Source organism: Homo sapiens, chromosome 16 (genome assembly GCF_000001405.40).
Source record: "Homo sapiens chromosome 16, GRCh38.p14 Primary Assembly".
Classification (NCBI taxonomy): Eukaryota; Metazoa; Chordata; class Mammalia; order Primates; family Hominidae; genus Homo; species Homo sapiens.
Window position 1 is genome coordinate 26,690,798 of NC_000016.10, and position 23,952 is coordinate 26,714,749.

Genomic DNA, 23,952 nt, shown 5'->3' on the forward strand with positions numbered 1-23,952 from the left:
AGGGGCTGTCTTGCTTATCGTGCAATGAGGAATCTGATACCAAAAGAAAAAAAAGTCAGCAGCTTCTTCCCAAGCTTAGGTATGTAGAAAGCAGCAGAGCCAGGAGTCAAATCCACACTTGCGTAACCCGCAAAGCCCATGCTCTTAACTACATTTTAACTACATTGTCTTCAGCTTCACTTGGGGTTCCCTCTTTGTGTTGATGACTTGAGAGAGATTTCACTTTCTCCTGATCTCCAAAACACCTGCTGTCTGCCCTTTGTTGGGTAATTCCCAGCTGCCCAAAGATGGTGCCTCTTTCAGAAGCTTTCCTGGCTTCCTCAGGCTGAGTCGCATGTTCCATTTCTGTGCTTATCCCTGACATCGTCACGTAAGCCAGGATAGGCTACACTATGCTTAGGAAACAAACAATCCCAAGACTTCAGAGGCTTAAACTATGAGATTTTATCTCTCTCTCCATCACTTTTTCATTCAGGGTCGCTATCCTCATTCAAGGCCCAGAGAGACACAGCAGCCTCAATCTTGAACACTCCCAGACGTTGTGGTGGATGGTAGCATGGCAAGGGTCACTGTAGCAGGGGTTGCAGCAAACACTAGTTCCTCAGACGTAACATGTCCTCTCAGCTCACATTTTATTGTCCAAAGCTAGCCACATGGCCAAACTGGACCCTGAGGGATCATGGAAGCATAGCCTTCTTGTATGACCCTTTTATTACAACGTCAACTGTCACTGTCCTGGCCTTAAATATCTGATGAAATATCTAAATAACATGATGAATTGTTGGCCTATCTGTCTTCTGCACTGTGAATTCCTCTGGGCTTTGGTCTTTACTTCAAAATATTTGCCGTGCATTATACCTGTATCATATAGGTGTCTATCATCTGCACATTGAACAGATGAATAAAGACATGCCTGAATGAAATTCCGACCAGAGCTCTTTCTCCATCCCCATCCCTCATTTTGCACACAGACAGCTCACGTGCATGACACCCCAGCCACACAGGCCTTCTTCCCTTCCACAAACATGCCAGGCTCATTCTCTCCCACAGGGTCTTTGCACATGCTGTTCCTTTTCCCCAAAACACTTTCCCTGAAATCCATGTATACCAGAGACGCCTTCCTTAGCTGCCTCATTCAAAAGAGCTCTCCAGCCACAGTCCTCTCTATCCTCATTTCCTGCCTCATTTTCTCCATAGACACAATCACTACAGTTGAGTCCTCACTTAACATCCGCAATAGATTCTTGGAAACTGCAACTTTAAGTGAGATGATGTATGGCAGGTCCTCAAATGATGTCATTTCCTTCAATGTCATTTCGTTATAATGTTAATGAGAAAAAAATGGTTTCATTATATATTGTTTTGCTTAAAGTCACAGTTTCCAAGAACCTACCGACGGTGAGTGAGGATTTGCTGTACATTAAACTGTATTGTTGATTTTCTTACTTATTCTGTGTTTGTCTTCCTTTGCCCCTCAGTGTTTACCACTGTATCCCTAAAACTGGAAGAGTGTTTGGAATTAGTAGACATTAAACATATACGTGTTGGATGAATGAATGAAAACGTGAATGAATAAACATAAATAAACAATGTAGCGCCCCAGCAGGAAGAGTAAACTACCAAAAAATACCCTCTGCTTACTATAGAAAATTGTATCTAGAGGAAAATTAGATGTATTATTTCAAACTTCCTTGGATTTTTTTAAGATCATCAACCCATCAAAATCAGCCCCTGATGCCCTTTTAAAATATATTATGGCAAGCAAAATCATGGTGAAATAAATGTTTAATCAATGTTTATTATTGCTAGCATATTAGTTTGCAGTCAAATTTATGACCCCATAAATTTGCCATCTTTATGAGGGACAGGCTGATGTCATGGTACCAAGGTCTTTTGCATAGCAGGGAGTTCAGTGCATTTCTGCCATCCTCTAGCTCTTCAGGAGGGGGGCAGTGCTGCATGATGAGAGATGTATGAGAACACACACTCATTCACTCAATGAGCCCTGATTGACAACCTGCTGCACACTAGGCTATGCCAGGCTCCACAGTGAGCATGCTGGGAGTGAGTGAATGCAGGAATGCATGCACTTGCATATGTACATTCACTCCACAAACATTTACTTTTATCTCTATCGTATGCAAAATAGTGTGTTTGGTGGTAAATATAACAGAAACAGAAAAAGAAAACTTGGGTCTGGTTCAGACACTGGAATCACATAAGCTTCCCCACTGGAAAGCAATGACAGCAGTTGGAACCCCATGCCAACCTAAGTACAAGTTGACCACTCTTGCTCATATGGAGACTGCTCATCTCCTTGGCTTTCATCTGCTGGTTCCTCACTTCCACATTTAATCTCTTAGCAAGTCCTGGTGGACTTGCCTCTAAAATACACCCTGAATCCATCCACTAGTCTCGTCTCTACCTCCCCTGCCATCATCTCTCATCTAAATATCTGCAACTGTCTCATAATGGTCATCTTGGTTTCTACTTTTATCCACCACCAAATAATGTTTAAAATGGTAAATTAGACCCTGTCACTCCCTTCATTAAGCTCTCCAGAAATTTCTTGCTGCTCTCAGAAAAGAATACACTTTCTTTCCACAACCCACAGACTCTTGCCAAGCTCACCAACTTCGTCCGCCTCTCTCTGCAGTCCTGGGTTAGGTAACCTCTTCCTCCCCACTAGAAAGCCTGCTTTTGTTTTACTCATTAAGAGGTGCACCAGTGAGAATATTTTAAGCTGCAAATAGCAGAAAATATCCTCAAAGAAAGTTGGCTATCTCACATAAAGTTCAGTCTGGTCATAAGGTCATTCTAGAAGCAACAAGAATCCAAGTTTTTCTGCATATATAGTTTTCCAGTCTCAAATATTGCTTTCTTCAGGCTGGCTACCTCAGAGCATAAGATAGCTGCCCTGGTTCCAGGCATCACACTTTTCTCCATGTATCTCCATCTAGACATATCCGAGACTGGATAATTTATTTAAAAAAAGAAGTTTAATGATCTCACAGTTCCACGTGTGGCTGGGGGAGCCTCACAATCATGGCGGAAGGTGAAAGGCACATCTTGTGTGGTGGCAGGCAAAGAGAGAATGAGAATCAAGTGAAAAGGGGAAACTCCTGATAAAACCAGCAGATCTTGTGAGACTTATTCACTACCATGAGAATAGAAAGGTGGAAACTGCCCCCATGATTCAATTATCTCCCACTGGATCCCTCCACAGCACGTGGGAATTATGGAAGCCACAATTAAAGATGAGATTTGAGTGGGGACAGAGCCAAACCATATTATTTTGCCCACAGCCCCTCCAAAATCTCATGTCCTCACATTTCAAAACCAGTCATGCCTTCCCAACAGTCCCCCAAAGTCTTAACTCATTTCAGCATTAACTCAAAAGTCCATAATCCAAAGGTCTCACCTGAGACAAGGCAAGTCCCTTCTGCCTATGAGCCTGTAAAATCAAAAGCAAGTTAGTTACTTCCTAGATACAACTGGGGAATCTTCCTAGATAAAATTGGCATTGGATAAATAACCTCATTCCAAATTACAGAAATTGGTCAAAACGAAGGGGCTAAAGGCCCCATGCAATTCCAAACTCCAGCGAGGCAGTCAAATCTTAAAGCTCCAAAATAATCTCCTTTGACTCCATGTCTCACATCCAGGTCATGCTGATGCAAGAGGTGGATTCCCATGGTCATTAGGCAGCTCAGCCCCTGTGGCTTTGCAAGGTACAGCCTCCCTCCTGGCTGCTTTCATGGGCTGGCATTGAGTGTCTGTGGCTTTTCCAAGCACACAGTGCAAAGTGTTGGTGGATCTACAATTCTGGAGTCTGGAGGATGGTGACCCTCTTATCACACCTCCACTGGGCAGTGCCCCAGTGGGGACTCTGTGTAGGGGCTTCATCCCCACAGTTCCCTTCTGGACTGCCCTAGCAGAGGTTCTCCATGAGGGCCCTGACCCTACAGCAAACTTTGCCTGAACATCCAGGCATATGTCTTCTGAAATCTAGGCGGAGCTTCCCAAATCTCAATTCTTGACTTTTGTGCACGTGCTGGCTAGACACCACATGGAAGCTGCCAAGGCTAGGAGCTTGCACCCTCTGAAGCCATGGTCTGAGCTGCACCTTGGCCCCTTTCAGCCATGGCCAGATCAGCTGGGATGCAATGGGCACTGAGTCCCTAGGCTGCACAGAGCAGGGAGACCCTGGGCCCAGCCCGTGAAACCATCTTTTCCTCCTATGACTCCTGGCCTGTGATGGGAAGGGCTACCGCAAAGGTCTCTGACATGCCCTGGAGACTTTTTCCCCATTGTCTTGAAGATTATAATTTGGCTCCTTATTACTTATGCAAATTTCTGCTTCCAGCTTGAATTTCTCCTCAGAAAATGGGTTTTTCTTTTCTATTGCATTGTCAGTCTGCAAATTTTCCAAACTTTTATGCTCTGTTTCTCTTTTACAACTGAATGCTTTTAACACATCGAAGTCACCTCTTAAATGCTTTGCTGTTTAGAAATTTCTTTTACCAAATACCCTACCTAAGTCATCTCCCTCAAGTTCGAAGTTGCACAAATCTCTAGGGCAGGGGCAAAATGCCACCAGTCTCTTTGCTAAAATATAGCAAGAGTCACCTTTACTCCAGTTCCCAATAAGTTCCTCATTTCCATCTGAGACCACCTCAACCTAGGCTTTATTGACCATATTACTATCAGCATTTTTGGCAAAGCCATTCAGAAACTCTCTAGGAAGTTCCAAACTTTCCCACATTTTCCTGTCTTCTTCTCAGCCCTCCAAACTATTCCAACCCCTGCCTGTTACCCAGTTCTAAGGTCATTTCCACATTTTCGGGTATCTTTACAGCAGCACCCCACTCTACTGGTACCAATTTACTGTATTAGTCTGTCCTCATGCTGCTAATAAAGACATACCTGAGACTGGGTAATTTATAAAGAAAAAGAGGTTTAATGGACTCACAGTTCCACCTGGCTGGGGAAGCCTCACAGTCATGGCGGAAGGTAAAAGGTACATCTTATATGGTGGCAGACAAGAAAAGAATGAGAATCAAGAGAAAAGGGGAACCCCTTATTAAACCATCAGATCTCATGTGACGTATTCACTACCATGAGAACAGTAAGGAGGAAACCCATGATTCAATTATCTCTCACCATTTCCCTCCCACAACACATGGGAATTATAGGGGCTACAATTCAAGATAAGATTTGAGTGGGGACACAGCCAAACCACATCAATCTTGATTACCTTAGACACTAAAATTTAACATTAAGTCATGGTGAGAAGGGATTGATACTTAAACAAAACCAGGTTTCTGCCGAAATAGAAGATGAGGGGATGGCTGTTTTGGGAGGCAACCAACCCACCTACCCCAACCAAGCAGCTGGGCTGTAGAGAATGATGGGTGTCAGACCCAGCTCTGCCACTTACAAGCCTTGCAATATTTGATAGGTCACTTTGCCTCCCTATGTCTGTTTTCTTATAGTGAAAGGAGGTTCACTATAGCACCTACTTTCGGGGTTGCTGTTAAGATTAATTAAAAAAGGCCAGGCGCAGTGGCTCAGACCTGTAATCCCAGCATTTTGGGAGGCCGAGGTGGGTGGATCACAAGGTCAGGAGATCGAGACCATCCTGGCTAACACGGTGAAACCCCATCTCTACTAAAAATACAAAAAATTAGCCGGGGGTGTTGGCAGACGCCTGTAGTCCCAGCTACTCAGGAGGCTGAGGCAGGAGAATGGCGGGAACCCGGGAGGCGGAGCTTGCAGTGAGCAGAGATTGCACCACTGCACTCCAGCCTGGGAGACAGAGCGAGACTCCGTCTTAAAAAAAAAAAGATTAATTAAAAATTAATTAATGTAAATTTGAATTGTGTCTGGCATATGGTAAATGTCAGTCGCTATTCTGTATGGGTGCCCATTCTGCTAAAAGGAAAATACCTCACCAGGCATGGTGGCTCACACCTGTAATCCCAGCACTATAGGAAGCCAAGGTGGGAGGATCACTTGAGGCCAGGAGTTCAAGACCAGCCTGGGCAACATAGCAAGAACCCCATCTCAACAACAAGTAAAAACATTAGCTGAGTGTGGTGGTGTGCGCCTGTAGACACAGCTACTCAAGAGGCTGAGGCAGGAGTGGGAGGATCACTGGAGCCCAGAAATTCAAGACTGCAGTGAGCTATGATCCCACCACTGCACTCTAGCCTACATGAAAGAGCAAGACCTTGGCAAAAAAAAAAAAAAAAAAAAAAAAAGCCTGGTCTTAGTTTCATCATTGGAAATAAGAAATTTGTTTTAAACTAGTTTTAGGGAAGTATACCGTCATAACAGTTCTATGAATTAGGGAAAGGTAACTGCTGTTAAAAATGGAAAAACAGAAGCCCGGAGAGTTATAAAAGTAGAAATGCTGACCTCTAGCCTTTTTCTTAATTTTTCAGACAGGGTCTTGCTCTGTTGCCCAAGCTGGAGTGCAGTGGTATGATTATGGCTCACTGCAGCCTCAACCTCGCAGGAAGTGAGCCTTCCATCTCAGCCTCTTAAGTAACAGGGACTAAAGGCATGCACCACCACACCCAGCTAATTTTGTTTATTTTTTGTAGAGATGGGGTTTCACTATGTTGCCCAGGCTGGTCTTGAACTCCTGGGCTCAAGTGATCCTCCCACCTCAGCCTCCCAGAGTGCTAGGATTACAAGTGTGAGGCATCGTGCCTGGCCTGACCTCTAGTCTTGTGCTTGCTCTGAATGATGCTTCTAACTCAAGAGAAGTGAGATGTGCATCCTAGGAGGGCTGAGAAGGAGGAGACATCCCTGACCAGATCTGGCCAGGCGATGGGAGCCAGAAACTATCCATTAGAGCTGGAACCTCCAAAGCCAGAGAAGTGAAGAAACTCTCCCAGTGGGGCAAAGAGTTGAAGAAGCAGGAAGCCATGGGCAGGCTAAGGGTGCATGAAGGACAGGCAGGCTGGAGAAGAAAATTCTCTTTGCAGACTAGAAGGAGATAAGGCTGGACAGGCCTGTTGAGGGTTTAATGCTGGGCAGAGGGGTATAGATAGGAAAAGCAACCATCACCTACTGAGAGAGCCTCTCACTGCCAGGCACCCAGCCAAGTGTCTCCCCTGTATTATTTGATCCTATTCTCCTAATGGCTCTGGCCACCAGGAATTGTCATTCCAATCACACAGAGGACATGGCTGAGTGACATCACCAAGGCACCCAGCTCAAATTCCAACTCAGAGCCACCTGATTCCATGCCTGCTTTCAAAGTAATCAGGAAGCCTGGAGAGCCTCCAGCCCTCCACAATCTGCAGCAACAGCATGAAATTCCCGGCTGACCTGTAGACACATCAGTCATCTCCCTGAGTCATTTTAGGGGCTCTCAAATTAACTTTCGGTCAGAAGCACACAGTGGGACTCCTTGAATGATGGCATAAAATGATCAGCAGTTGCCCTTCCTAGTAAAATGGGTGGAAATGATGTTTCAGCGTATCATTCAAAGTCTCTAGAAACTATCCCAAGGATATTTGGCAAATGGAGAAACGGGTTCACTCAAGAGAATCCACTAAATCTCCCTAAGAACAGTGAGAGTCGGTGGCATTTAAGGCATGGCCTACTCCACTACTCCCTCATCCCCAGCTCTGCATTACTCCACCTCTGGGGTGTACAACCAAGAAGACGAAAAGTGCCACTCCTCCAAACCCCCAGTTTAGGCTGTGGCTCCACACCAGGAGGAGAAGTTTGCTGGCATTTATCATCTTCCCCAGCCCCATGCTGAAGAAGCTCCAGGCATAGTAGTAGTTCCAGAATACTAGGGCCCCAATGCCCCCTGCCTCAGCTAGCTCATAAGGCAGAGGTTCACCCTAGAAGGGACGAGCCACAAAGGCCAGGCACTGCCATGTCTCCCTAGTTTCCACTCATAACATAAGGATGTCACTCTGGAAAAGCAGGAAAAACAGGTCTCCACCTCCAGCTTCAGTGCACTGGTACATGGGTTAGGCCTGGGAGAAATTCAGGCCATAAGAAAAAAGGGCTGCATAGCTCTGTCTGACTGAATTGACTTTATTTGAAATAGTGAATGGAGAATGCCATGCTTAAGGGCATTGCCAAAAACAATGGAGATTTTGGTGGAGAGCAACTAGGAGGAAGCTGGTAGATCTGATACAAGAAAAATGGCATTGCAGCCAGAAGCTTAATACAGGGAAGCAGGAAAGAGACAGACAACAACAGCCATCTGAGGTCACACACAACTCTGGGGGTAAAGAATGCTGTGTGCATGCACCAGGCTGTCCCTGTTCAAGAGCAAGCAGAGTAGATGCGGCCAGACCTGGAAGCATTCTCCAAGCTGCACAGAGACCATCAACACAGAGCAGAAGTCTTACTTAAGAAAGAAATTTAAGCACAACCTCTGACTGAACACAGAGTGAACAATAAGCTACTCTGATCCAGGAGTCACTCCTAGGAAGCCAGACTTTATGAAAGTTAGTTACCACTGGCAGTCAGGAAGCCTGAGTGCATGCCCAAGGCTGTATCCTCTCAAGAGTAACCAGAGAGGGAACCTCTAAGCTACCAGACTCTGGCTAAATGTAGGGCAAAAACAGTAAAGTCCTTGAATTGTGATGGAAGCTCCAAGTCACACACATATACGTTGGTAAAGGTAAAAATTTAGCTGGCTGAGGGGATGGTACCAGAACCACTGACTAATTAGTGTCTATGCCAACCCAGAGGCAAGCCCTAGGTAGCCAGGCTAAAACAAGAATAAGGAAGATCTGAGCAGGGACATCAAAGCTACACATTGTGAGGAAAATAGACTTTGCACAATCAGTTCAACCGAGCCACTATACAAATATGCAAATGGCCAAGCAAGGAACATCAGTATCCAAGGCTGCTACAATACATTAATTAAGACCCCCAGTTTTAAACAAAAAGTATGAAGCATGCAAAGAAAGAAGGAAGTGTGCTCTACACATGGGTATAGAAGTAGGCAATAGAAAATGCCTTTGAAGTGTCACAGATGGTGGAATTAGTAGATACCAAAGTAGCTGTTAGGAATATGCTCAAAGAATTAAAGGAAACTATAACTAAAGAATTAAAAATATGATAAAAATGTCTCACCCAGCAGAAATAAAAATATTTAAAGGAACCAAATAGAAATTCTAGAGTTAAAAAAATACAGTAAGTGAAATTTTAAAAAATTCACTAGAGGGCTAAACAACAGATTTGAGCAGGTCTAGAGTCAGTAAACTTGAAGATAGATCAATGGAGATTGTGCATACTGTAGGACCGAGGAAAAAAGAATGAAGAAAAAAATGAATAAAGCTTCAAAGTAGTGTAGTATATCATAAGTACACCAACATATGCAAGATAAGTGTAGACGAAGGAGAGGACAGAGAATAAGGGAAAGAAATATTTGAAAAACAATGTCAAATAATTTTCCAATTTTGATTTAAAAAAATTAATCTGCACTGGCAAGAAGCTTAATGAACTCTAAATAGAATAAATGCAAAGAAATCTACAACCATATACATCATAGTTAAAATATTGAGACACATCCTGAAAAAAGAAATGCAAAGAAAATTGTGAAAGCAACAAGAGAAAAATAAACATGTACAAAGAAACCACAATAAGACTGGCAGCTGACTTCTTATCTGAACACTAAAGACAAGAAAGCAGTGGGACAACATATTCGAAGTGCTGAAAATTATACACACACACACACACACACACACACACACACTAACCAAGATTCCTATATCCAGCAAAACAGTCTTTCAAAAATGAAGGTGAAATAACAATATTCTTGGATAAACAAAAACTGAGAGAATTTGTTGTTAGCAGATTTGCCTTACAAGAAATACTAAAGTCCTTCAGACTGAGAGCAAGTTACATCAGAGAGTAACTTAAATCCACATAATAAGAAAAAGAATGCACATAAAGGTAATTATGTAGATAATCACAAAAAACATATACTTGCATTTTTATTCTTCTTCACTGATTTAAATAGCAATTATGTAAGATTATACATATTATATAGATAGATTATACACAGATTTTATATAGATCTATATATAGATTATATGCATTTTTGTGTGTGTGTGTGCATGTGTGTATACATACATACAGTATACATATGTATGTGTGTATACATACATACAGTCATTCCTTATTTTCCATGGAAGATTTGTTCCAGGACTTCTCAGGGATGCAAAAATTCACAGATGCTCAAGTTACTGATATAAAATGGTATAGTATTTGCAGATAACCTGTGCACATCATCCTGTATACTTTAAATCATCTATAAATTACTTGCAATACCTAATACAATGTAAATGCTGTGTAAATAGTTGTCATATTATACTATATAGGAAATAATAACCAAAAAGTCTGTACATCTTCAGTACAGATGCAATTTTTTTTCAAATATTTTTAATCCACAGTTGGTTGAATTCACAGATACAAAGTCCACACAATATAGAGAGGGTTAACTGTGTGTGTGTGTGTGTGTGTGTGTGTGTGTGTAGAAATGCATTATATATATGTATTTTATGTAGATATACTTAATGTATAGCTATGCTGAAACATACAGAAAGGAATATATTTCACAATAACAGCACAAAGGAGGCAGGTAGAAATAAGATGTGTCAGGATAAGGAAGTGATACCAGATGGTACCACAAAACCGCAAGAGAAATGAAGAGAACCAGAAATTGCAAATAAAAAGGCTAATATAACAATCTCTATAAATATATGATTGCTCTCTTTTCTTCTCTCAGTTCCTTTAAAAGGCAGATGATATAAAATAATCATAATTACATGTTATTGGGTTTGTAACACACAGAGGTATAAAATGTGTAATAAGGATAGCAGCAGGAGGCAGCCAAATGCCTTGACAGATGGGGCGGATCCCCAGTGAAACCCCACCTCCAAGCAGAAGACAGTTTAAAACCTGAAAGCCCAACTGCAAGTTAAATCCTTGGACTGGATTGAGAGCTTGTCCTCCTGTTTGGTGTGCTTTCCTCTGATTGATCCCCAACCTTCACCTATTTTACATATACCTACTCTTTCCTAATTGGTTTTCTACACCGTCACGCCCACCTTTGAGGGGTGCTTTGCTTTAACCTTTTGCATACTCACGAACCAATCAGCATGCACTCCCCATCCAGTGCCTATAAAGACCCCAGAGTCAGTGAGTGGAGGGAGAGATGGCCTGATTTCACGAAGAGACAACCTGACTTCAGGGAAGACAACCTGCCCATCCCATCCCCTCTCCAATTCCCCTCTCCAGCTCCCCTCTCTGCTGAGAGCTGTTGTCATGGCTCAGTGAAATTATCTGCCTTCACCATCCTTCAATCGTCGCATGACCTCATTCTTCCTGGATGCTGGACAAGAGCTCAGGACCTATGGAGTGTGGGTACCCAGAAAAGGTTGTCACACTGGCCCTTGGCCCTTGCTGGCAGAGGATAGCTGCCCCATGTGATGAGGCAAAAGGCCACCTGAGGTGCTAACACACCACCATCCATTGGACTGTGGATGGCGGAACTAAAAGAACACTGTAACTCCCCTTCTGGGGCTTTGGGGTTACAGGCACCCTCACCTGGGTGCTGCCATGTTCCCCTCAAGGTGACACACATGGTCTGGACATGGGTTCTGCACTCTCTCACTCACATGCTCCATCCTGCAAAGGGGTGAGTGTGGTGGGCCGAGTAGATGGGGCAATGAAGAAGAAATAGGGAAACAAGCAAGCAAACAAGCAAAAAAAGAAACAAAATAAAAAACAAAATGACAGATATAAATCCAACCATATCAATAAAAACATTATGTAAATATATTACACAATATAATCAAAAGCCAAAGAATGTCATCCCAGATCAGTGGTATGTGGCCTACTGGAGACTCATCTTAGATTCAAAAACACAAATAGATTAAAGGTAAAATAGGCCAGGCGCAGTGGCTCACGCCTGTAATCCCAGCACTTTGTCAGGCCGAAGCAGGCAGATCACAAGGTCAGGAGATCGAGACCATCCTGGCTAAACGGTGAAACCCCATCTCTACTAAAACTACAAAAACTTAGCTGGGTGTGGTGGCACGTGCCTGTGGTACCAGCTACTTGGGAGGCTGAGGCAGGAGAATCGCTTGAACCTGTAAGGCGGAGGTTGCAGTGAGCTGAGATTGCACCACTGCACTTCAGCGTTGGCAACAGAGCGAGACTCTGTCTCAAAAAAAAAAAAAAAAAAAAAAAAGAAAGGTAAAATAATGGAAAAGATACACCATGCAAGCAGTAACCACCAAAGAGCTGGAGTGGCTAGACCAGTGCTGCACAAAAAAGACTTCAAGACAAGAATTGTTACTAGAGACAGAGGGATTACTTAATAATACTAAAAAAAAATCAACCTACCAAGAAGATAGCACATTTACAAACATATATACATCTTAATGAAAGCCCCAAAATACATGAAGCAAAAACTGACAGAATCAGAGGAAGAAACAGACAATTCAAAAATAAAAGTTGAAGGCTTCAATAGCTCACTTGCCTTAATGGATAATTCAAATACCTGTAGCATGAAAAAATATTTAAAAAGAGATGGATATCCCAGTTACCCTGATTTGATTATATGAATGTAGCAAATCACCACATGTACTCTGAAAAGATACACATTGAATATCCATTAATTTTAAACATTGAAAGTGATGAATTTTAAAAAATAAATATATATGTTTTAAAAGAACAGCTAAGCAAAAGATCAACCAGGACATATACAATCTGAATGAAGCTGTAAGCCCACTAAACCTAACAAACGTAATTAGACTTAACAGACCTGCATCTAAATAGAACATTCCCAACCACCAACAGCAACAACACATTCTTCTCAAAATCACAGAAAATATTCTCTAAGAGAGACAATATTCAAGGTCATAAAAAGAAAGCCTCAATAAATCTAAAAGGGTTGAAGTCATACAAAGTATTTTTCTCAAACACAATGAATGAAATTAGAAATCAGTAACAAGGAAATTTTGAAAAATCATAAACGTGGAAATGTAATAACATACTCCTAAACAATAAATGGATCAAATAAGAAACCACAGGGGCATTAGAACATACTTTGAGATAAATGAAATCAAAGGTACAGCATCCTAAAGTTCATGGGATACAGCTAACACAGTGCTCAGAGGAAATTTATAATTGTAAACACCTGTATTGAAAATGACGTAAACGCTAAAATCTAACCTGACCTCTTACCTTAAGAAGCTGGAAGGCCGGACGCAGTGGCTCACGCCTGTAATCCCAGCACTTTGGGAGGCCGAAGCGGGTGGATCACAAGGTCGGGAGATCGAGACCATCCTAGCTAACATGGTGAAACCCCGCCTCTACTAAAAATACAAAAAATTAGCCGGGCGTGGTGGCGGGCACCTGTAGTCCCAGCTACTAGGGAGGCTGAGGCAGGAGAATGGCGTGAACCCGGGAGGCAGAGCTTGCAGTGAGCCGAGATTGCGCCATTGCACTCCAGCCTGGGTGACAGAGCGAGACTCCGTCTCAAAAAAAAAAAAAAAAAAAAAAAGAAGCTGGAAAAAAAAAAAACTAAAAAGTAAGCAGAAAAAAGAAAATAATAAAGATTGGACTGTGTGTAAAGTAGAGAGTAGAAAAACAATAGAGGATATCAATATAAAAAAGTTTGTTCTCTGAAAAGATTAACAGATTTATAAAAGTTGGATTTTTTATTGGGACACAATACTTGTATACTTTTTTATGGGGCACATGTGACATTTTGTTGTATGCATAGGATATTTAATGATCATGGTATTTGTGTTATTCTAAAACATTTTTAGATAGACTAACCTAGAAAAAAGTGAAGACTCAAATAACTAACGTCAGAAATAAAAGAGGATCTATCACTACTCAGCTTACAGAAACACAAAAGATCATAAGAAAATACTACAAACACATACTATATCAAAAAATAGATTTCTTAGGTGAAATGGACAAGTTCTTAGAAAGACACAAATTATTCATAATAGCCAAAAGATGGAGACAACCAAAATGTCCATTAACTGATGAATGGATAAATAAAAAGAGAGGTTAATGCATGCTACAACATTGATGACCCTTGAAAATGTTATGCTAAGTGAAGGAAGCCATTCATAAAAGACCAACACAGTGTATGATTCCATTTACATGAATGTGCAGAAGAGGCAAATTTAGAGACACAGAAACCAGATTAATGGTTGCTTAGGGCCAGAGGAAAGGTGGGGTAGGAGTGGCATGGGGATTGACTGCTAATGGGCATGGGGTATCATTTAGGGGAGATGAAAACCTTCTAAACTGAGATTATCATGATGATTACACAAACCTGTGAATATGCTAATAAACATTGAATCATTCACTTAGGTAGGTGAATTAGATATGAATCATATCTTAATAAATGTTTTTTTAATTAAAAAATATATCAGAAGGCTTAATTGTTACCAAAACACCAGGGGTTTGGTCTAGGTCCTGCTGCTCACTGCACAGAAAGCCAGTCACTGAAACAACGAATATTGTCCCAGAGGAAGGTACTGCAGCCAAGGAGATGGGAGATCAGTGTCAAACCCATCTCCCTGACCCACTAAAACTAGGCATTCATATAGCAGGGAAGAAATGCAACTGTGTGTGGGAAAACAGGAATTAGGGAGGGTTAAGGAAGACAAACTGGTCAACAGGAAGCAGGTGGTCACTTAGACAATCATGATGGGTGAGGGGTCTGACATCTCATTGTGAGATGCAGTGGTCTCATGAGTTTCAGTTCCTCTATTCCAACTGGGAGGCCTGATAGTTTCCTGAGAAAGGAACTCAGACAAGACAAATGCAACTTTCTAAAATTCCAAGACTGGGAGGATCACTTACTATGTTCATTCATCAGAAACCATGAGCCTGGGCATGGTGGCTCGTGCCTGTAATCCCAGCACTTTGGGAGGCTGAGGCCGGTGGATCACCTGAGGTCAGGAGTTCGAGACCAGCCAGGTCAACGTGGTGAAACCCCATTTCTACTAAACACGCAAAAATTAGCCAGCATGGTGCCGGGCGCCTGTAATCCCAGCTACTCGGGAGGCTGAGATGGGAGAATTGCTTGAACCTGGGAGGTGGAGGCTGCAGTGAGCCAAGATTGTGTCACTGCACTCCAGCCTTGGCAACAGAGTGAGACCTCGTCTCAAAAAAAAAAAAAAAAAAAAAGAAAGAAAAAGAAAAAAAGAAACCATGAATAACAGTTCTATGGAACAATCGGGTAGGTTTCATAATCCCAGGCCCAATAAAGTCCCTGGTGGCTTGAAGGTAGGAATCTTGGTCCTCTGTCCTCTGTAACAAAGTCCTTCCTGATCAAAATAAAAAGATGAAGTGGAAAGAGCAAGAATCTTGTATTTAGACTACAGAAACATGAGTCCTCCTTTCCTGATTGAGCAATCTCACACTAGCCTCAGTTTCCTCACCTGTAAAAGGGAATGATGGCATCTACATTGCTAGATTGTTGGAACAATTCCTGGCTGCATATAAAATGCTTTCTGCCTTGTATAGCACAGAGCACACCCTTAATAGATAATCAGTGTTGTAATGACCAATGCAGTCAAAGTATTGTGAAGATTAAAGGAAGGTGCTAAGGATTTGTTTTCAGCTCCTGAAAACCAATACAGTGCTTAAGATACGTTTTCTAAATGAATGAACAAATGACTACCATACCATTCTGTGTGGCATGATTGCTCCTGAAAACAGATCTGATGTGTCGAAATGTTGAACAGCATGACGAATAACTCCTGAAATAGAAAACCTAGAGAAATGGACATTTTAAGTTTTTTTCTTACAAAAATGAACTATGAAGAAGACAGATGGGAAAAAAAAATGTCCAGCCTCAACTTCAAACATAAATTAGGTGTGACAATAAAGGCAATGTGCAGCCATGAATATTTAGGGGAATAATGCCAGAGGAACAGATAGACATAAGCTGATAAGCCCTGCCCTGGGGCCTTGGCACTGGGAGAGTGGGATGGTGGGAAGGTAATCTTGGGGCTGTCATGCCCCAAGGCAAACTGATGCCTAAATTTCTGTTTTGTAAATGTGAAACACCAAAGCCAAATGGGATCAACGGTACTGTTTTGGAGGAAGAAGTTATATTTAATTGGCATCTACCCTGTGAAGCCCTGGAAATAGGTTATCTTATTTAATTCACACAACAAGCCTGAGAAACTGATATTATTACTCCCATTTTCCAGATGAGATAACTGTGTTTACAAGGGGAATGTGCCATACCTTAGAATATGTATCCAGTTGTGCCAGGATTAACTCTTGTACTGCTTTACAACTCATTTGTTCCTCACAATGACACTGTGAAGTGGGGATCACTATTTTGTTCCGCGAACAGATGAAGAAACACAGGGAGGTGACGTTATTTGCCCAAGGTCACTCTGATACTCACCTGAACCCAGATGTCTGGCTCTATAGTCCCTATTCTTAAGCACAATACTATGTAGACTCTAGTTAGCAGCAAATCAGGATTCCAACTCGTGTCTATTTCCTTTGCTCTGCTCCACCACGCTTCCTTCCCATAGGAAACAATGTAGCTATTAGAAGTGTTGGGTGGTGGCTCATGCCTGCAATCTCAGCACTTTGGGAGGCAGAGGCAGGAGAATCGCTTGAGCTCAGGAGTTCAAGACCAGCCTGGGAAATATAGTGATATATCATCTCTAATAAAGAAAAAGAAGTAGAAGAAATGTCACCTCTGGGGAAAAAAAAATTGACCAGAATTGGAAAATCTTAAATTCCTACAGGGGTGGATCTAAGGGAAGCCAGTCAGGTGAGCCAGAGAAGTCAGAAATTCGGGCCAGCTGGACCAGTTGTGCCCCATGCAAAGGGGGAAGCCATCATAAGCTGTCATAAACTACTTGTTGTCATAAGAAACTGAGGACCCAATATTGCTAGATTTTAATGTGGATTCTTCCACACTGTAAAATATTGAATCATCAATAGAGTGCATCTACACAAAATTTAGAAAGATGGGAAATGACTGTGTGCCATCAAGTCAAGAGAGTGGTCCCTGGGTGAGGATGGAGACAGAAGGGAGCAGGAAGTGCTGGTCCTGCCCTGTTCCGTGATCTGTGCTAGCTACACCGTTGTGCTCACACTGTGCTAATTTATCAAGCTGTGTGCTTGGAATATGGCACTTTTCTGTAGGTATATTACACTTAAAGTTTTTTGGTTGGGTGTGGTGGCTCATGCCTGTAATCCTAACTCTTTGGGAGGCCAAGGCAAGCAGATTGTTTGAGCCCAGGAGCTGGAGACCAGCCTGGGCAACAAGGTGAAACCCAGTCTCTACAAAACCGTAAAAAGTAGCCAGGCATGGTGGCACACGCCTGTGGTCCCTCAGGAGGCTGAGGTGGGAGGGTCATCTGAGCCAAGGGAGGTCAAGGCTGCAGTGAGCTGTGATCGCGCCCCTGCACTCCAGCCTGGGTGACAGAGCAAGATGTCTGTCTCAAAATAATCAAATAAATAAATACATACATACATGAGAAAAGAGAACCTTTTCTACCTCCCTCAAATCCCTGCCCTCTCCCACCCCATTGGGGAGGATGGAGGAGAAGGTTTGGGATTATATGCAAGACAGTCTCAGAAAAAAAATAATACATAAAAGTTGTGTTTTTTTTGTTGTTGTTGTTTTTATCTTGGAACTCAAAATAACACTCTAAGTCAAATACAGCTCAGGTCATGGATTTGCTAGTATAAGTCACCTCTTTTAAACCTTTTGGGAATCATTTTTCTGATTCAGCTTTTCTGTGCTGAATCATGTCATGAGTTACATTCAGGGGCGGAGATACAACATCACAGGACACACCCTGTGACTTGATGCTATTAGGAACCTTGCAACCCAGAGAGCTTCTTGACAATGCAAGGGAGAGTTGCTTCTGGCGATGGTGAGCTCCCCTTCCCTATGGAGCCTGACAACTCCAGAACTGGAAAATCTGGAGTTCCAAATTCTTTTCCAGAATTGGAAAATGCCAGACAACTCATTATCAGGCATTCTGCAGAGGGCTTGGGAAGAAGGAGCTGAACAAGATGACCATAAAGTTCTTTCTGGCCCTGAGAGCCGAAGAATCCAAGATCACCCATCTTTCCATTCATTCAACAAATACATACGTAGCACCTCCTTCATTTCAGATGTGTACCCAGCACTGGAAATTCAGCGAACAAATCCCACTGAGATCCCACTTAAAGACCCTGTAAACCATCAGGGAAGGAAGGCATTGAGCAAGTTGAGTGGAGAGGAGGAGAGGAGAATATCAAGAAAAGATGGAGACATTGAACAAAAGGGGCTTGCTGTCTGATGCACTAGAAACCAACACTTGCACTAGAAACCAACACTAAGACACCAGGTTTTGGAAAAAAAAAAAAAAAGCCTTTATATTGAAAGTCGACTCCCAAGCAGACAGGAATCAAGCTCAACTCTGTCTCCGCATGCTGGTTATAAGGTAGTATTTTTATCAGAGAAGGTTAAGGGGGTGGGTTCTGAGATCAGCAGGTGATTGGTGGAAGGAAAGGGGAGGTCTGGGAAGCACTCAGGCATGCGCAGTTATCTCTGCATGCTCTCTCATGGCTCACATATGCAAATTTGGGAGGAGTCAGTCTGAAAGGTGGTGGAAGTTCAGGCGGTGATGTTAGCAAGCCGGTACTGCAGACCCTAGTTGGTCGTTTTGGTTCTAATCAACTTTAGCTAGTTCTTTTATCTCATAAATGGAGGGAGTTTCTGTGTTTCAGCAAGTTGTTTTTTTTTTCTCATTTGCCATCCTGCAAATACAAGAATTTCTGTTCATCATTGGTTTCAACTCTTTGGGACACAGTTTCAAGCATGTGCCCAGCATTGGAGATTCCATGATGAGCAAAACCTTTAAGATCCCATTGAAAGGCCTTGTAACCCATCAGGGAAGGAAAGAGGGAAGGGAGGGAAGGAGGGAAGAAAGGAAAGAAGGAAGGAAGGAAAGAAGGAAGGAAGGGAGGGAGGGAGGGAGGGAGGGAGGGAGGGAGGGGGGAGGGAGGGAGGGGGAGGGGGGAGGGAGGGAGGGAGGGAAGGGAAGAAAGGAAGGAAGGGTGTTAAGAAGGAGTGAAGGAAGGAAGGAGGGAGGGACGGAAGGAGAGAAGGAGGGAAAGAAGGAAGAGAAGGAAGGATGGGTGTTCAGTGGAGAGGAAAATGATGAGGGCAGTCAGGGGGCTCTGCTTTCATCTCCTAGGGGCCTATTTTAGTCTAGGTGGAGTGAAAACAGTCCATGAGTGGGGATGTTTCAGCTGAGACAGGAATGAGGATATGAGTTAGCCAGACAATGGGAGTAGGGATTGTCCGAGGCGGGGAGGCAGAGGTAAATTGAGGAAAGGAGGAAAGTTCAAACAAGCTGAAATGCAGACAATGCAGAGGGCAGTTGTGGTCCTAGAATCTCATTACATCTTTATTTCCAGGATTCAAGGAATGGAAAATTCTATGATCCTATAATTTCGAGCATCTATGATTCAACAGCTCTCTATTATTAAGATTCTCTGAATTTAATTTTCCCAGAGTTGATGAATACATCTTTCTAAGTCCCTGGCTTTCAGGTGCAATGAATCTGCATCTGCCTTAGATGATTCCTTTGCTAGTGTAGACAGGGTTAAAGAGAAATATTTGCAAAAAAAAAAAAAAAAAAGCCCATACACATTTACTCTGCAATCTGCCTCCCAATTAGACTCTGTTCTTCTCTGCTCTGGGAAAAGAGACAAAAGAAAATACAGACAGGGGCCCTGCTTATACTAACGAGTGATCTCCATGGGCAGAGTTAATGCCAAGCCCCGTTCAGCCGCTAGGCCATCCCCAGTACAGGGTGAGCACACAGACTAATTTAGGTGGAATAAAAACACATTTTTACATGGTGCCCTGACACCAAGACAGGCATTTCCTCCCCACAAAACAAGCCCAATTATCATGGCACGCTCTGTGGCCTCTGCTGTTCTGTGAAAAGAGTTGCAAATTCTTTTAACCCTTTATAACACAGAGAACAGGAACAAAGGGGAGCAGGAAGTTGATTCTGGACACGTGCACCATGCAGCGTCACACTGAGAGCTCAAGTGTTTGACCCCAGGAAAGTACTCAGCCATTTGGTGCCTCAGTGTCTCCCCCGGATACAGGGCTGTTGTGCCAATTATATAAGTTAATGCAGGTGAAACTCTAAGAACAGTAGCTGACATATAGCATATGCTCAATAAAACTTACCTATTAGCTGTTTTTATTAAATAGAAGCCAGAAAATACCATGCAATATATGCCATATTAAGGGATGGGTTAAACCAAGATCTGGCTTGCTGATGTGTGGAGAATACACTGGGCAGGACAAGAAGTGTGAAAGGGCATGGGGTGCTGAGGAAATGGCAACTTGTTTACTACACAAGAACCTAAGGTCCCTGGTGCCTAGAGTAGAGCAAAGAACAGAAGGAGAGGAAAAATGGAAATGTGGGTTATGGATGCCTTGGTCAGTCCAGGCCGCTGTAACAGAGTACCATTGACTGGGTGGCTTATAAATAACAGAAATGTATTTCTCACATTTCTGGAGGCTGGAAGTCCCAGGTCAGATGCCGGCATGGTCAAGTTCTGGGGAGGACTCTCTCTGAGGTTGTAGACGGCAAACTTCTCACTGTGTCATCACATGGTAGAAAGAAGGTGAGAAGGCTCCCTATGGTCCCATTTTTTTGTTTGTTTGTTTGTTTGTTTGAGGCAGAGTCTCGCTCTGTTGCCAGGCTGGAGTGCAGTGGCACGATCTCAGCTCACTACAACCTCCGCCTCCTGGTTTCGAGAGATCCTCCTGACTCAGCCTCCCAAGTAGCTGGGACTACAGGCATGTACCACCACACCCAGCTAATTTTTGTATTTTTAGTAGAGACGGGTTTTACCATTTTGGCCAGGATGGTTTCTATCTCCTGACCTTGTGATCCACCCGCCTTGGCCTCCCAAAGTGCTGGGCTCACACCCGCCTGGCCCCTCTAGGGTCCCCTTTATAAAGACACTAATCTCATTCATGATGCTCCACCCTCATGACCTAACCACCTCCCAAAGGCCCCACCTCCCAATACCATCACCTTGGGGATAAGGATTTCAACATATGAATTCGGGGCTGGAGATACACAAACATTTCATCCATTGTACGGAAGATCACTAAACGTTTTGAGATCAAAATGATTCATTAATTATACTTTTCTCCCAAGTACCAGAAACACAACTCAAACTGGCTTAAGCAAAATAAATAGGCTCATGGAACTGGAACTTCCTGCAGTAAAGCTGGCTCTAGGCTAGATCAGACTAGATTAGCTCTAGGTTAGCTGAACTAGATTCAGATGCTTCCATGATTTCTTCAGGGCACCACTCCCTCCATCTCTGAACTCTGCGTTTCTCAGTGTTGGCTTCATTCAGCAGCAAGAGCTCCCCAACTGGTGACAGAGACAGCCATCAACAGCTCCAGGCTGACAAACTATCAGTGAAGCCACCCTAGGGGAAAGAATATTCCAGGCCTGAACTTCCTTGGTTTGGTTTAAATGTGTGTCTCTGAACCAATCAGTGCTCCAGAGAATGGATGATATGATCTCTGACTAGTAATACCTGGTCACGTGTTGTGTGCTTATTACTGGAGATGGGGGTGGCATCTTGGCTAGAGATCAAGAAAGAGATAATTTTCCACATACAAGGGATGTGTGTGTGTGTGTGTGCTCTGTCACCCAGGCTGGAGTGCAATGGCATGATCTCGGCTCACTGCAATCTCTGCCTCCTGGGTTCAAGCAATCCTCCTGCCTTAGCCTCCCGAGTAGCTGGGATTACAGGCATGCACCATCACGCCCAGCTAATTTTTTGTATTTTTAGTAGAGATGGGGTTTTGCCATGTTGGCCAGGCTGATCTTGAACTCCTGACATCAGGTGATCTGCCCGCCTCAGCCTCCCAAAGTGCTAGGATTATAGGCATGAGCCACTTCGCCCGGCCTGTGTGTGGTTTTATGTTGTTTTGTTGTGGTTGTGTTATTTTACCAGAAGAAGGAAGATGGATTCTAGGAGGCAAAAATATCATATGTTCACAGTATATCTGTGTAGGTTTTTATTTGTGCTTTTGAAAGTAATGTGGATTTGTATGAACAAAAACAAAAAAGACCACAGCAGGGGTGGCAAATGTGGAATTGTTGCTGGACCAAACTGAGGGTCGGGCTGCTCTTTCTTCCAGACCAATAATGAGATGCAGATGTACTGGGGAGGAAGAGAGTGTTTATTTCTGTAATTGGTTACAGGGAGAAGGCCTGGAAAATATTGCCAGACCAACGCAAAATTACAAAGTTTTACGGAACTTATACACCCTCTAAGCCGTATGCCTCCGTGTAAGCGTGCATTCATGTAAAGACATAGTGATTAACTTCTAATCCATAACTAAGGTCTGAGTCCTGAAGACCTGCCTTTGGAGCCTCAGTAAATTTACTTAATCCAAAGGGGTTCAGGTACTGGGGTGACTACCCTTATCTTGTCTCCTGCTAAATCATGAAGGAGTTTGGGGAGTTCCTTCAGATCCCCAATAAACTTGTTTGTGGAGGCCTGGGGAGTTTCTTCAGACCCCTAATAAAACTTGTTTAATCCTAAGTGGGTCCTGTTAAGAACTCCTTCATTATCTTGTCATGCTTTAAGGCCCAGGAAAGGCCTAGGCAAAACTCTTGGTGGGCTCTTGTTACGTTCCAGCCTTTGTATAAGGGTAATGGCTGTTTCAGCTTTTAACATTTAACTTAACCACTCAGTCAGTGCTGAAACAGTTGTTATGAGGACCTGCCTGTTCAGCCGTTAGGGAGACCTGGCCTGCCACAGTTTTATGTTGTTTGTTGTGGTTGTGTTATTTTACCAGAAGGAAGATGGATGCTAGCAGACAAAAATATCATATGTTCACAGTATATATATTGTAGGTTTTTATTTGTGCTTTTGAAAATAATGTGAATTTGTATACATATTTTAAAAAAGACTAGAGCAGGGATGGCAAATGTGTCATGACCTCGTCATCACTACACTTCTGATACTCACGGCAGGCCTGGCTCATTCATTGCTAATCCACCACAGTTTTCTCTATTGATTCAGCACCTTGCTATCGGTCAGTTTCAGTAGGAACTATTTGCCACCTCTGGACAGAGGAAAGGGGTCTAATTTATTTCCTCTTTCTTGGGTGCCATACCTCTGATATATTTCAACCAGAAGGTGATAGCTGAAGAGAAGATGGGACTGAACATCTTTCTCATCACTTTGGGAAAGAAAAGGGAAGGAATGTGTCCAATGTTACAAGAGCTGGAGTATCCCAAATGTAAGCCGAGAGCACCTTTTCCTAGCAGCAATAGCCCGGGAATCAGAGCGCTCAGTGTCCAAATCCTGTCTTTCCTGCAGACTAACTCTGTGGCCTTTGGTCAATTACTTCGCCTCTGTAGAAATGTTTCTTCATCCGTAAAATGGAAATAACAGCAAATCCCTTCAGGGTCATCGTGAAGACGGAAGAGATGATGCAGGCAAAGCTTTTGGCCAGACATATACTTAGTGCTTAAGAAGCAAAGGCTACCTTTGAAGCCATCAATAATATGCCTTCCTGCAGTTTTCCACCTTCCAGGCTCTTACTGGTTTTTGTTTGTTTGTTTGTTGTTTCTTTAAATTCAGTTGAGGAAGTGAGAAAATTAAGATAACCAAGTGGTTTCATGACAACATTATGTAAATCCATCTCCCCGTGGATCCTTCCAGCTAAATAGAGAACAGAATTTGAATTTCCAAAAGTAAGTCAGTAAACTCTCTTATCATTGGGGAATGTGGAGCCTGGTTAATCAAATACAGAGAAATCAGAGTTAATCAAATAAGGAATTACTGTGTTGCCCATGTTGGGATTCCCCTTACTAAAATAATTAGAATGCAGTAGAAACA